Genomic DNA, 15436 nt, shown 5'->3' with positions numbered 1-15436 from the left:
CGGCCCAGCGCGGTCGCTCACAAAATTCAGGGCGGGGCTGCCCTCGGCGCCCGAAAGCTTTTTGTTTTTTGTTTTTTTTTGAAACGGAGTTTCGCTCTTGTTGCCCAGGCTGGAGTGCAGTGGCGCGATCTCGGCTCACAGCAACCTCCGCCTCCCGGGTTCAAGTGAGTCTCCTGCCTCAGCCTCCCGACTAGCTGGGATTACAGGCATGCGCCACCCCCGGCTAATTTTGTATTTTTAGTAGAGGCGGGGTTTCTCTATGTTGGTCAGGCTGGTCTGGAAATCCCGACCTCAGGTGATCCGCCCGCCTCGGCCTCCCAAAGTGCTGGAATTACAGGCTTGAGCCACCGCGCACGGCTTTGCCCGCAAGCGTTTTGAATTTTGTGGCCCGGAATTCACTGCGAGGACTGGGATCACCCATCACCCTTCCCTGGTCTACGGAAAATGAAACGTGTTTACTGATACAGAAACGGAATAACGGCACTTTGGGCTGGGGAGGGCCGAGCTGCCTCAGGCTTCTGGTCTCCAGCTGCGCGGCACTCACACCTGCCGCTGTGAAAATGCAGACCCGCGGGGCAGGAATTCCGAGTCCAGGCTGGAGCGCGATCTGGAATCTGACTCGCTGGAAACAGCACCGCGGTGGATTCGGACCTGGGTGAGTAGGGAACTGCGCCTCAGCCCCTCCCGCAGGCCGCCCACAGATTCCGGGGTCCGAAAACACTTCACCCCTGGAAGGCAGCGCCCGCCTCTGGGCGGTTCTGATGGAAACGGGCTCCACCGCCCGCAGGAAAACCCACAACTAAGGGGCCAGGAAAAAGCCTCTCAGGGTCCCGCCGCTTCAGTGAGGATCCTAATTTACACCCCGAGTTTGGCCCCGTCAAAGACGGGAGGGACCACTGAAATGATACAAGACCAGCGCGGCCCAGGGCGCTGGGGCGCATAGAATGCTGTGACAGCGCCGCCTCGCGTCCCTTTTCTGACCTGCCCCAGGCGGACGCGGTGAAGTGTGTTGGCCTGGAGGCTGGAATACACCGGGGATCAAGTGCAGAGAGTGGTGAAAGGAGGGAAGGATAGGGGGACGTGTTAAGAAAGGAGGGAAGAGATAGGAAGAAAAGGGGAGAGAAAAAATAAAGGAGAGATAAAATTTAAAAGACGTAGTTTTATTATTTATTTTTGCCCTTTATCTAGTTTTACTTATGAACATTTTTACTATAGCTTTCTCTCTTTCTGAATCTGTAAATATACTGCTATTATTGTTATTTCAGAGCCTGTGAGGGTAAGTTGCAGACAGCATGACCCTCTACCTCCAGATGTGTCAGGGTGTGTCTCCTGGGCACAAGAACAGGGTTTTTGTTTTGTTTTGTTTCACATAAGCAAAGTACAAATCTCAAAGACGATAATATTTTTAAATCATCATATTGGGACATACTTTGCATGCAATAAACTGCATCTATTTAAAGTGTTCAACTTGTTGAATTTTAGCTGTTGTACACACCCACATCTCCACTACCACAGTGAAGATAAAGAACATTTCAATTGTCTCCCAAAGAAGAGTTATATTATAAAATTCTATACAGTCATTAAAAAGAGTAAGATTGCTTTTAAGTATTGCTATGAAAAGAAGTGCCCAGCATACTTTTAACCTTTTTTAAAAGGTTAAGGAGGCTGGGCCCAGTGGCTCACGCCTGTAATCCCAGAACTTTGGAAGGCCAAGGTGGGCAGATCACCTGAGGTCAGGAGTTGGAGATCAGCCTGGTCAATATGGTGAAACCCTGTCTCCACTGAAAATACAAAAATTAGCCAGGCATGGTGGCCGGCGCCTGTAGTCCCAGCTACTCGGGAGGCTGAGGCAGGAGGATTGCTTGAACCCGGGAGGTGGAGGTTGCAGTGAGCTGAGATCGTGCCACTGCACTCCAGCCTGGGTGAAAATGCCGCTAATATTACTTACATAATATTAATATATATTTTAAGTAGGGGAAAACCTGGAAGATTCCTCACCAAAGTTTTGACAGTGACTTCAGAGACTGGGATAACTTTGTGACTTTCATTTTCTCTGAAATGTTGGAATTTTATCTTTTAGTATAAACTTGGATTTGGGTGAGTTGCAGTGGTTCATGCCTATAATCTCAGCTCTTTGGGAATTGGAGGCAGGAGGATCGCTTGAGCCGGGGAGTTCCAGGCTGCAGTGAGCTATGATTGTGCCATTGCAATCCAGCCTGGGTGACAGGAGGAGAACCTGTCCCCAAAACAAAAATAAATAAAATTTTAAAATAATAAAAATTGTGAACTTGGATTTATGCGGACGTTAAGGAAGAGAATATTTCAATTTGAAAATACGAAGCTAAGCCCCACACCAAAATGGTTACAGAGTTTTAAAAACCAAAATGTTCTTTAAAACCCACCACCAGAAACTCTTTCAAGAGGATCCTTCATATTTTCATGTCATTGAATCTTTCTTAAAGTGCCTTTGAAAGAGATGTTTTCAGTGGAATAGAGAGATGTGTAACAATATTTACAAAAGGGGTTGGCTGTAATAAAAAGGAAAACGCAAATGAGTGGGGACACAGGGGACCCTGTTCCATTTATTCTCAAAGCACGTTTGAAAACTGCGTTGCCATAGCGTCCTTGGATGGAGACAAAGTCGAGGCAGATCTTGTTCCTGGAGTATTGATTTGATTTTGGAAACGGTCCAAGGCTTTCAGAAATCAGGCTGGCTTAGATCTAAAGTCTCAAGAATGTTCGTTCTAGCAGTGAGCCTGTGAGAAGAATCTAGCCCATCTGGGCGATGCTCTCTCTGCTTTCACCTAGTGGCAGTGGTTGGAAGGACAGGGCACAGTGTTACTGCATGGGTGGGGCTGAAGCCAAGGTGAAACCGCCTTTGCAAAATTATAAGTAAGGAAATGATGACAGTGAAAGATATCAAACCTAACTCACCCTATCTTGCTTCTAACCGCTAACCTGCCCTTGTTCATTTCTGGGCATAGGCCGAACTAGCCTTGGGAAGGAATTTATAGTTTAAAGGGAAAGTGTTCTTTTAAAACGAATGAAAGGCCGCCAGCCATTAAGTTAGGATGAGAGGGGCTGGAATTCTGAATATTACCAGCCATTATTCCGGAGGTCATAAGATTTGCAACTTCCCCAGTTACTCTTGAAGGTAACATCACTATTGTGAACCTCAGAGCGGCCTTTTGAGATGTATTTTGCATTTCTTTTTTCTTTTTCTTTCTTTCTTTTCTTGCTTTTTTTTTTTTTTTTTTTTTTGACGGAGTCTCGCTCTGTCGCCCAGGCTGGAGTGCAGTGGCGCGATCTCGGTTCACTGCAAGCTCCGCCTCCCGGGTTCACGCCATTCTCCTTCCTCAGCCTACTGAGTAGCTGGGACTACAGGCTCCCGCCACCACACCCGGCTAATTTTTTGTATTTTTAGTAGAGACCGGGTTTCACCGTGTTAGCAAGGATGGTCTCGATCTCCTGACCTCGTGATCCGCCCGCCTCGGGCTCCCAAAGTGCTGGGATTACAGGCGTGAGCCACCACGCCAGGCCAGGTTTTTGCATTTCTAACAACTGGAGGACCCCATCTGGACCTGCCAACCAGTCCTGTGGCCCCCCACTCAGGAACTGACTCAGCCTAAGAGAACAGCCTCCACTCACTATGATTTCATACCGGAGCCAACCAATCAGCACTCCTGATTCACTGGCCCCCCCCATCCACCAAATTATCCTTAAAAACTGATCAGAGTTTTCGGGGAGACTGATTTGAGTAATAAAACTCTGGTCTCCCGCACGGCCGGCTCTGCATGAATTACTCTTTCTCTATTGTAATTCCCCTGCCTTGATAAATCGGCTTTGTCTAGGCAGTCAGCAAGGTGAACACACTGGGTGGTTACAAAGGGAGTCCAGGCCAGTGTGCAGGATGTGCTTTGCTGTAGTGGGGTCCGGGTAGCGGAGGAAAGTCAAGGACACTCAGGGAATAAATGGCAGAGGAAGAAGGAGCACGAGGGAGGACCCAAAGCCTCCAGACCTCTCCTTCCTTCTCTCCCTGTTAGGGTTGGAGAGGACCAGCGTGGTCCCAGGAGGGATGGCTGGTGGGGTGCAGAAAACGCCCTGGTTGCAAAGGGGCGTCACGCGCCCCACGCAAGGGTCCTGGCTGTCAGCTGCTACTCATGAGTTCAAATTAGGACGAGACTCACACGTGTCCTTTGCAAAGTAGACTCCTTATCTCCCGCTCCGGCTGGTTTCCCAAATCCATCCTGATAAAGCAGAAAAACCAAGAGCCAAATTCTGCGTGGGACCTTTCTGACAGCTGGAAGGTCCTCCCCCTCCCCATTCCTCACATGTGCCCTTCTTGCCCTGCCCCCTCCACTTTGTCTCCACTTCCTCATCCTTTTCCCTCTCCGGACCCCGCTCCTGAGTATCTCCCGCCTTCTTCAGAGGACTTCTCCTCATGAAGTACAGACTCCTCCACCTCCAGGAAAAAGAGACAAAGACCACTGAGAGGGACCTGAGAAATGCCTGTGACCCCACCCCTGAGGCCAGCCTCTCCCTCAGTGCTGGCTCTGGCTGTGTGTGTGTATGTATTTTGTTTTGTTTTGTTTGTTTGTTTTTGAGACAGGGTCTCACTCTGATGGTCAAGCTAGAGCAGTGTCCCGATCACAGCTCATTGCAGGCTCCAACTCCTGGATTCAGGCAATCCTCCCACCTCAGCTTCTCGAGTAGCTGGGACTACAGACTGGAGCCACCACACCCAGTATGTGTGTGTGTGTGTGTGTGTGTGTGTGTATTTTTTTCTTTTCTTTTCTTTTCTTTTTTTTTTTGGTAGAGACTGGGTCTTGCTTTGTTACCCATGCTGGTCTTGAACTTCTGGCTTCAAGCAATTCTCATGCCTCAGCCTCCCAAAGTGCTGAGATTACGGGCATAAACCACAACGCCTGGCCCCTGTGTGTGTATATACAAAGTCAAAGTGCTAAACCTGGCACCTAGGAAACATCCCCACCTTGGCATTGCTTGCAACAGTCGGTATTTTGTGCACCTGTGCTTTTGTTTCGGGAGCTGGGACAATTATATTCATCAGAACAGCACGGTGTTAAGGCCCTCACCCCCAGAAAGCTTAAGGGACACTGTTTTATGAAGGAGAGTGAGATTGGAGGAGCCCCTGACTCCAGGTCTCCTGATCCTTCTTACACAAAGCGATGCTGAAAAAAAGTGCAGGACACTCCATTTCCTCCTGGGACCAGACAGGGAAGCCAGAGCCACTGTGGATGTCAAATTCCAGCAAGGAAATACCAGTATAGCAAAATCTCCACATCACATTTTAAAGCTCACACAATGGCTCAAAGAGAACCAACATCAAAAAACCGAATTCCTAGCTCAGGTGAGATCACCAAATTTGCCTGTGAGGTTTTGTGGAATCTGCAGGTAGAAAGGACATCTTTATTTAGAGCTGCAGCCCAATTGCTCCTGCATCTTGGGGCCCCTTGAAAGGACCCTCTCCCTTCAACAGTGCATAGTGAGGCCATTTCTGGGGAGAAACGTAGACTGTCCTTGGACTCCTGAGGTTTTTACACTTACTTGCTGACTCTGTGGACTTTGACTTCATCATTAAACATCTTACAACGATGTAATTTGCTTTGACTGTAAGTGTAGAACAGGACACTGTTCCTGAAGCAGGAAACAAGGGACTGGTGACCTGAACTGCCACCCCCCTCCCTGGTGCTCAGATGTAATGAAATCGTGAGGCAACAAATCTATGGCCAGGTAAAGGGTCAACTCCATTTCAGCAAATGTTTCAGATGTTCCTTCCCGCCTAGTAATGTTCCAGCTTTACCCCAGCCTTAATCTTTTAAAATGTATATTTTCCTTGGTGTTATTTTAAAGTAATTCGTATGTATTTATTACACTGGGTTTGTTGCAGTAAGCCACCTCGAATGTTGCTGTAGAATTAAAGTAAGCAAATAAATGTGTGGTTCTCCACGGAGTTACTAACTCTTAAAAAAAAAAGTCCAAATGTCCATTCCCAACTCAGCTTCAAGGAAAGTCTCCTCTAGACTCCACAGGGTAGAAATTCCTGTTGATGGCACCTTCAGAAGGTAAGAAAGGAACTCGTCCTCCACCATGCCTGACCTATCTTTGGGTTTTAGGCATTGGCCGACTGATAAAGGCAACTCTGAGAGTACAATCCATGTATAGATGACCGATAGTCATATAATAGGAATCTCACCACACCTGAGAGAGTGGGATAGATTCCCTCATTTTCATAGTTTGGGCATCTGAGTCCCTGAGAGCCTGAATGCTTGACATGGATTCTCCAAGAATGTTGGCCTTGAGACTCTAAAGGGCCCCGGGTCTCCTGTGAAGCCCCCTGTGCATGCACCACACCCGCAGAGGCTCCACAACGGCGGGAAGAGCACCCAGGGTCAGAGCCCAGGCTAGTTCACACTCGGGGACCATCCACATCCAGGACGTGCAGAGGAGGGGCCGAGGTGAGAGCCCAACCCCTGCCTAGGCTGTGGTGACTGGTGGCTGCACGGGGGTCCCAGCGCTCCTGGAGCTATCATTCTTTATCTCCTGAAGACCCCGGACCCGCACATACAAAAACTCTGCATTTCTGGTGGAGCGGTCTTCTCTTTTGAGATGTAAACACTACTTCTCGAATCTTAAAGCCAGCCATTGCCACTCCTAAGGGATAAGCCTCTAACTCCACTGAAATTAGCCTCAGAATTTCAGCTGAGCATTTGGAGCCACAGGCAGGAAGTCTGTGGGATTTGTACCTGGCTGATCTGGAAGGTGGTCCTGAAAGGTAGTGTGTGACTAGGTGGGCTCTATCCTGATGAGAGGAGAACGAGACAGATGGGAAGTTTCCGAAAGTGAATTTCAGTGGGCCCTGTGCCCAGCACTAGGATTTGGAAAATCTTTTCCCAGCCATTTTTGGCCTGTGGGTTTTCATTCTGCTTTCCTGTCTGCCAAGCCATTCCAGGCAATCCCTTCATTTGGTAAACATTTATCAAATACCTACTGTGCGTGGGGCATTGTTTTAAGAGGAGCTGGAACTGAGGTAAGAGCAAATAAACCCTCCTTGCCCTCAAGGCGTGCCCAGTCTTGCTCAGGCAGAGATCAGTAAGGAAATCATAACACAAATTGAGAGAGAAAAAAGGAAGAAACTGGTCAGGCGGGCAGTTATGGTGGGTCCTCAGTTGAATTATTTCAAACAAAAGAACGGCCTGCAGGCACAGAGAAGGGAACTTGCACAGGGGGGCTTGCCTAAGACATGCCCACAGCTGCACAAATAAGAAAGGCTGCACAGGAGACTTGCCCAGACATGCCCGCAATGGAAAATTCTGTCCCCCGATACGTGGGCAGTCAGGGAAACAAAGCAATATGGAGTAACTCAAGCTAAGGGCCTGCATGGGCACTAGGAGGATGGGGTGGAGCTACCGGAAATTCGTGCCTTATGCAAATGAGACACCCAGCCCTCATCAGTTTCTTGTAAAAGCCTTTGCATTCAGCTGTAAAAATGGCAACCATCTTCCAAGTCCCCTCTCTGCAGGGGAGAGCTTTCTTCTTTTGCTTATTAAACTTTTGCTCCAACCTCACCCTTTGTATCCACGCTCCTTAATTCTCTTGGTGGTGAGACAAAGAACTCCAGGTAACACCTCACAAGGAGAGACTGAGAGGCTGCTACGTTGTGGTGCATTGGCAAGACTAACAAACTGGCTAGTGGGACATGCACACTTGCTTGGTAGACATATATGTAGATCTTCAGCTCTGACTAATGAAGGAATACCAAAAATCTCATAAAAGAAAAAAATATTATTTGAGCTTTGTTTTGTGGTGTAAGTGGGAGCCCCACAGGCACCCAGGATAGGAGAGCTTTGCTCAGAATCCAGGAAGTGAACATCTTTCCCTGGGCCAGGCCAAGAATGAGACTAAGCTGATTGAGGAGCCTGGTGCCTCCTGGCAAGAAAGGGTGTCTGACACCTGACTATCCAGAAGTCACAGCTACTCAATATTGAGACTTGAAACAGAGAGAGAGAGAGAGAGAGAGAGAGAGAGATCTGATTTGAAAAGCAGAATTCTGCTGGGGGCTTGTTAAATGCAGAGTTTCTGATACAGTAGGTCCAGGCCAGGCCCTGAAGATTGCATATCTAAGTTCCCAGGTGATGCCAATGCTGCTTCCCCCAGGACCACACTTTGAGAACCACCACCCTAAGGCAATCTGTGTTGGTTTCTAATATCAGAAGAGGGCTGGGAGTGGGCTGGGAGGCAGAGGTGTGGGATCAGTGAGAACACACCTGACCTACCCTGGACAGCTCCCCACCCCAATCTTGCAGCATTTTATTTCCTGGGAGTCCTGGGAATGGAAGACACCCAGGAAGGGACCAAATGTGGGGTCACAGGGTGATCCAGAGGCTCGGCTTCATACAGCACCTGGGGCTCCCGCCACTCCACAACTGGCCCCCACACCCTCAGTCTTCCCACCCCTCACGACACTGACCTCCAGACCTTCCTCGACTAATCTCAGCAGGTTGGGCCTGGGATGTGACACTAGGAGCTCTGAGTGTACCTTCTGATCCAAAGATAGGGTGACCGCGTATGACAAGTACTCAGATGGGCCATTAATAGGACCTTGAACATTTGGCAAATGGCTTCAGTCACGTGTGCTTGAGAATTCCAGTGTTTTCTAGATATGGCATCCATGAGCCCACACAAACACTGGAGGGCGTCGTGAGCATACTGAAACCCATAACTGCTGCACTGGATCCCCTAGAATCCCTTTCCCACTTAGACCAAGATTTGAACAAAATTTCCTTCACCAAACAAATTGCATTTAATTAATCATGCTGTTATTTTACCTTGTAATGGAAAAAAGATAGATGTAAAGAAAGATCATGCGATTAAAAAGAAAACAACGTACTGAATTAAAATGGCAGTAAACCTCCTTGTTAAAGGAATAATATAATATTTAGAAAATTTTTAAAATTTATTTTAATAAAGGTAAAAAAATTCTATTAGTTTTTAAAAGGTTTTTCATTTTGAATTTTTTTGGGGTTTGTTTGGTTGCCCTAGGAATTATCTTTTATTTCTTGATATAGTTCAAAATTCAAAATTCAAAATATTCAAAAGGTAAAATGTCTCTTTCTTACCTTGTCTCATCCCCAACAGGCAACCAGGGATATCTTCTTGCTTATTCTTCCAAATATATTTTATGCATATGCAAGCAAATATAAATGTGTATATATATCTCTTTGTCCCTTTTCACACAAATTTTAGCAGACTCTATATGTTATTCTACACCTTGCTTTATTTCTTCTTAACAATGTATCATGGAGACCATCCCATGAGGGAATATCAAGAGTTTCCTATGTCTTTCTTCTTTTGTGTTAAATGTTTGTAGACTCAGCCGTGTAGATATGCAGTGCTTGTTTGGGTTTTCTTAGGAAGGTAGGGAGGCCTCCTCATGTTACCCAGAGTGGAGTAGAGTGTATTCACAGGTGAATGCTACTGTGCCCAGCTTGCAATGCTTTTTTAACTAGTCCGCTAGTGACAGACATTTGGATTATTTTTTCTTTTATCTTTCATTTTCTTTCTTCTTTCCTTTTTGATTTTACAAACAGGGTTGCATCATATAATTCTGAATACAGTCATTTTTCAGGAATGCAGGTCTATTTTTGGACACATTTCTAGAAGTGGGACTACTGGGTGTATGCATTTTTAATTTAGACAGAAATTGCCATACTGCCTTTCCTGAAAACATTTCCAGTTTGCAGGCCCATCTGCAATATATCAGAGTACCTGTTTTGGTACCATTAGTTTTTTGATTATAGAAATATGTAGAGATATACATTTGGGAGCCATCTGTGTCTAGACGATATTTAAAATCCTGGGAGTGGAGGACACTAGAGTGATTGGGAGGCAGTAAAACCCCACAGTGCTCCAGCATCTACAGCAAAAGGAGCCAATGAAGGGGGACTGAGGCTGAGCAGCTAGTTGGGGAGGAAGATAACTTGACCTGTAAAATGTCAAAGAAGATTTTAAAGGGGGGAGTTGATACAACCTCTTCAGAGAACAATTTGACATCCTATAACATCACATGGTAAAAGCACAGTAATCCCATTCCTACATCCGTATCTTGGGGAACTCACACAGGGGACCAGAGAGAGATGACCCAGGATGTTCATTGTGGCAGTGTCTGTAACAGAAACAAGCTAAAGGTCGCGGACAGGAGAAGAGATAAATTGTGGGATATTCGTCTCATAAATGCTATCCAGCACTGAAAACAAATGAACTGTTTCTATGGGTGTGTGGGTTCACCTCATAGACCATATTAAACGATAAAGCAAGCCACAGAATGATACATTCAACAAAAAACAATTTTTACAAAGTCTAAAATCATGTCAAACGAAAGGATTTAAAAAACTTTGTAGGCCGGGCGCGGTGGCTCACGCCAGCACATTGGGAGGCTGAGGCGGGCGGATCACAAGGTCAGGAGACCGAGACCACCCTGGCTAACACAGTGAAACCCCGTCTGTACTAAAAATACAAAAAAATTAGCCGGTCGTGGTGGTGGGCTCCTGTAGTCCCAGCTACTTGGGAGGCTGAGGCAGGAGAATGGCGTGAACCCGGGAGGCGGAGCTTGCAGTGAGCCGAGATCCCGCCACTGCACTCCAGCCTGGACGACAGAGCGAGACTCCGTCTCAAAACAAACAACCAAAAAAAAAAAACACTTTGTAGCAATATAAAGGCATTCACCAAATTCAAGACATCCGCCACTCCCCACTGGCAGTCCAGTACTCAGTACAGTAGTACTGTACAGTACATAGAGTACTGTACTGTATGTGTTTCAGCGGAAACACATACATAACAGAACTGTGGAGAATCAGGGCTATCTGCATATATTTCTATTATTTTCTATGTATACTACATATAGCCAATAATATTAAAATGTTACAAATTGACAAACCTGGGTAGGGGCTTCACAAAGATTTCTTTTAATTCTCTATTCTTCCAGCTAGAACTACCTCATAATAACTAGCAGCAACATGGATGGAACTGGAGGTCAGTATGTTAAGTGAAATAGACCAGGCAAAGAAAGACAAATATCACATGTTCTCACTCACATGTGAGAACTGAAAAAAAGTTGATCTTATGGAGGTGGAGAGTAGAATAATAGTTACCAGAAGCTGGGAAGGGTGTGTGGGGGATCTGGGAGATAAAATGAGGTAGCTTAATGGGTACAAAGATACAGTTAAATAGGAGGAATAAATTCTAATATTCGATAGCACAGCAGGCTGGCTGTAGTTAACAACAATGTATTGTGTATTTCACAATAGCTATAAGAGTGGATTTGAAATTCACCCAACACAAATAACTGATAAATGCTTGAGGTGATGAGTATCCTAAATATCCTGACTCGATCATTTCACATTCTACACATGCATGAAAATATTATGTGTACCCCAAAGTATGTATAAATATTATATGCCAATAATTTTTATTAAAATACCAACAAGCTCAGTACAATAAGGAGTATTTTAAAATGATACAAAAATTATTTGTGTGATAATTTGGCAAATATTTCCTGTTCATTAACATCAATTTTTTCTCCTATAAGTATAAGGAGAATAATACCTAAATAGCATCAGAAGTGGTTGCTTTCCTGAAAGAGAATCCTTTTCCCAGTTAAAAATACAGAATCAGAATCACTAAAGTAAATAGGACTTTGGAGAACTACATAGCACTGGGTCTTGCTGCCCTGGGGCGGCCAGGCTCAGGGAGTGCTCACCTTCCAGGGAAAACTAAACTTCGGCTCCCTTGTTTTGGTAGTGTTCTTTTTTTTTTTTTTTTTTTGAGATGGAGTCTTGGTCTGTCGCCCAGGCTGGAGTGCAGTGGCGAGATCTTGGCTCACTGCAAGCTCTGCCTCCTGGGTTCACACCATTCTCCCGCCTCAGCCTCCCGAGCAGCTGGGACTACAGGCATCCACCACCACGCCCGGCTAATTTTTCTTTTTGTATTTTTAGTAGAGAAGGGGTTTCACCGTGTTAGCCAGGGTAGTCTCGATCTCCTGACCTCGTGATCCGCCCGCCTCGGCCTCCTAAAGTGCTGGGATTACAGGCGTGAGCCACTGCGCCTGGCCTTTGGTGGTGTTCTTATTGCAAGACCAACATTTCAAAATATCAACAGAGTCCAGCCAAAGGGTTGTATTCTCTTTTATTTCTTATAATATGCACCGCCAAGGATGGCGCAGACTCTTATGGGCTAAACTGTGTCCCTGTACACATATTTTGAGGCCAATGTTGACAAGATAGAGGGAGAAGATGGCCATCTGTAAGCCAGAGACAGGCCTCAGGAGCAATCAGCCCTGCAATACATTCCATCGTGGACCTGTAGCCTCCAGAACTGGGAGATAATACATTTCTACTGTTTAACTTACCCAGTCTGTGCCACTTTATTATGGAAGTCTTAGCAAATTAAAACAGAGATATCACCTTTTCTACCCTGCCCTACATATGAAAATGAGATTTTTCAAGAGTATGAATTATGTAGGATTCCAAAGCATAGAACGGATAGATTGAAAATTGACAATGGCAGGTGATGTAGAGTTTGGGCAGATGTAGGCTGGCTTCCAAGCCTCCGTGGTCCCATGGTCACCACACAAAGGTGGAGATGTTCTCATTCCTTTTCATTTTCACTTGGAGCAAAACATGTGGGTCCACACTGGTATATGATCAGAAGATATATTTAACTGATTTGAGATATTGAGGTAGAAAGTCTTGCTGTACTTTTATAGAAAGATGAATGATAATTATCATCACTAAAGGGGCTTTTAGGCAGGGTGTTGCTGGCATTATGTTTTCCTCCTACTTTTAAGGTGCATGTTCCTAAAAAAGCCCTGTCTAGGAGTAAAGGCCATCACTTAAATTTTTCTGTTTCTGCGGCCGGGCGCGGAGGCTCACGCTTGTAATCCCAGCACTTTGGGAGGCCAAGGCGGGCGGATCACGAGGTCAGGAGATCGAGACCATCCTGGCTAACATGGTGAAACCCCGTCTCCACTAAAAATACAAAAAATTAGCCGAGTGTGGTGGTGAGCGCCTGTAGTCCCAGCTACTCGGTAGGCTGAGGCAGGAGAATGGCATGAACCCAGGAGGTGGAGCTTTCAGTGAGCCGAAATCGCTCCACTGCACTCCAGCCTGGGTGACAGAGCAAGACTCCGTCTCAAAAAAAAAAAAAAAAAAAATTTTTCTCCACCTGTCAACTCATTGGTCCTCACTTCATTTCAGTAAGGTTACCGGAATGTCTGTGTTTATCCAGGATTCACAGATGAGTTTAAAAGTCCCTAGTGGTAGAGAGCTTCTCCCGAGGTCACATGGCAACCGAGTGTGGTGGAGCAATGACAGGCATGTGGCAACCTTGGTCCGTACTCCAGTTCTCTAGGTGCCATGAGAATTGCAGCCTTTGGTTCATTTTCTATTATTATTTTTTTTTTTCTGAATGAGTGAAGGAAAATGTGTGTTGAGAACAAAGTGCCAGAGACCTAAGTCCATTCCTTAAACCTGCAGGGTTGGGGCCTGGAGAGACAGAGGCTGCCACTGATTCTCTGAATTCCAGCTTCCCTTGTCAGTCACGCAGCTGAAAGCAGGAAGAAGCTTTCTCTTCTGCACTTGGAACAACAAGGTGAAGATGACAGAGAGTCCCACATCTACCATGGAAAAGGCAATGGTCCCTAAATCATGCCAAGTTTTCTAATGACATGTGTTTTCCCGCAACATGTAACTATATGTCCTCCCTTCAAGCACCAGTTATCACAGTACAAACACAGCAACAGCATAAAGGAATGACTACTGAGCCTGAAGCTCTGATGGATGCTCTGAGTTGAGACTTTGTTTTATACTTAGGTACCTGTGAGTCATTGCAGAGTTTTGCCTGACTCCACCATGACCCAATTTGATCAAGGTCTATATGCTATGAGACCTCTCTAGTTCCTCATCAGAAATTATAATGAATACCATGTCCAGCTCCTGAGGTGCCTGATGGCAACGAGCGGCAGCTCCTCTTGGGGCAACACTTTGGGGGTGACCAAGGCCTCACAGACCTCACTACTGCTGGGCTACATGGCCCAAGGCTCCTGGGCGCAATGGATCGGTGGTCTTGGATTCGCCTCGGACATTTAATGACATTTGTTCTTGGGCTTTCACAAGTGGTCTCTGGTTGAGATGGAAGGAAAGGACGCAGGGACACAAAATCTCTGACTGCCCAGGGACCCCCTCACCGTCCTCACTTCCACTCAAGACGACATGGCCGTTCCACTAAATTCCCGAGGACATGGCCAACATGAGTAACAACACAGGGAAGTGCCTTACACAGAGTTCCATGGAAGCCTGGCTAGTACCCTCTAGACCATTTACCTACACCTGTTGGGATCTCTCTAGCATGAAATGCTCCAGAGGCAGTCATGCCATAAGCTTGGATCCTCCAGCCATTGAGTGTGAGGGTCTTAGCCCGGTCTAAATGAGCACTGAATTCTAGAGAGACCAAGGGACTGTCTAAGTTCTGAATTCTGAGTCCTGAATCCTGGAAGTTGGCTTCTGGCCAGGGAGCAGGTGTTACTGCCTCTGATCCACAAAAGCAGCCCCACAGCTCAAGTTGCTCTTCTGGATTTCTCCCCTCTCCTGGTTCCTGGCCAGGCAAATCTTCACTGCTTTGTTAGCCCATCCATTTGCTCAACCAGATTTTTCAAATATGTATGTTTTCCTCCTTTTCCCATTGTACTCAGTGGAAGGAATGGTCTAAATTACCTAATCAGCAATTCCTGGAAACCAAGCCACCATGTACATACAATCTTATACGTTAATGTCACATACAAGAAAGAAAATGCAGAGGTACCAGTAGTGGCTACCTAAGCAGTGTAATGTAGAGGTAATAAAAACGAATTGTTGGATAGTATCTATCTATGCCATGAGTAAAATACATATCAATAAATTACAACTTCTAAGAAAATAATCTCTATATGTAATATATGACTATGACTCTGATAGACAAACCTCGGAGTATTGTCTGAAGACACTTCTCATCACCTTCACCTCATGAGCCAGATGGTGTGAAATGAGGAGCAGAGATTTGAAATGTGTGGCAAGCCTCTCTGCAAAGCAGCAGAGTAACATTCTACATGAGCGAATCAAAGCAATCTCACAAATGACATTGGATGTGCGGTGTGGGATGTGTGTCCTTATTATAATGGAGTTAATCCTTTAAGTAGGTAATCCTTTTACATGAACTGGATTCTAAATGACTTATTAGCTATCAATTAGCCAGGAATTTTTCCCTTTACTAAAAGAGAGACCCTGCCATGAACCAGCATTTCCCAGGTGGAGGTCTCTGGCAGACATCAACTTCTAACAGGGTAAATGTCCTGTTTCTTTAGTCAGGGAAAACTGACTTTCACAAG

At 45.9% G+C, this 15436-nt stretch overlaps 1 long non-coding RNA gene across 1 annotated transcript, besides 3 other annotated features; it reads left to right on the top strand.

Moving 5' to 3' along the window:
- MICB-DT (MICB divergent transcript) lies at positions 115 to 14991 on the top strand. Its single transcript, NR_149132.1, has 2 exons — positions 115 to 655; positions 13551 to 14991. It is a non-coding gene; the product is annotated as an MICB divergent transcript (long non-coding RNA).
- Positions 413 to 1294: an enhancer, noted in NCBI's record as "NANOG-H3K27ac-H3K4me1 hESC enhancer chr6:31461392-31462273 (GRCh37/hg19 assembly coordinates)". NCBI's record gives its function as "activates a minimal SCP1, AML or CMV promoter by ChIP-STARR-seq in naive H9 embryonic stem cells {active_cell/tissue: H9 hESC(naive)}" and the evidence as "EXISTENCE:reporter gene assay evidence [ECO:0000049][PMID:30033119]".
- Positions 5962 to 6671: an enhancer, noted in NCBI's record as "H3K27ac-H3K4me1 hESC enhancer chr6:31456015-31456724 (GRCh37/hg19 assembly coordinates)". NCBI's record gives its function as "activates a minimal SCP1, AML or CMV promoter by ChIP-STARR-seq in primed H9 embryonic stem cells {active_cell/tissue: H9 hESC(primed)}" and the evidence as "EXISTENCE:reporter gene assay evidence [ECO:0000049][PMID:30033119]".
- Positions 6672 to 7382: an enhancer, noted in NCBI's record as "H3K27ac-H3K4me1 hESC enhancer chr6:31455304-31456014 (GRCh37/hg19 assembly coordinates)". NCBI's record gives its function as "activates a minimal SCP1, AML or CMV promoter by ChIP-STARR-seq in naive H9 embryonic stem cells {active_cell/tissue: H9 hESC(naive)}" and the evidence as "EXISTENCE:reporter gene assay evidence [ECO:0000049][PMID:30033119]".
- Positions 14992 to 15436: the final 445 nt, after the last annotated feature.

Source organism: Homo sapiens, chromosome 6 (assembly GCF_000001405.40).
Source record: "Homo sapiens chromosome 6, GRCh38.p14 Primary Assembly".
Classification (NCBI taxonomy): domain Eukaryota; kingdom Metazoa; phylum Chordata; class Mammalia; order Primates; family Hominidae; genus Homo; species Homo sapiens.
This window is presented reverse-complemented; position numbering and strand designations above follow the sequence as displayed.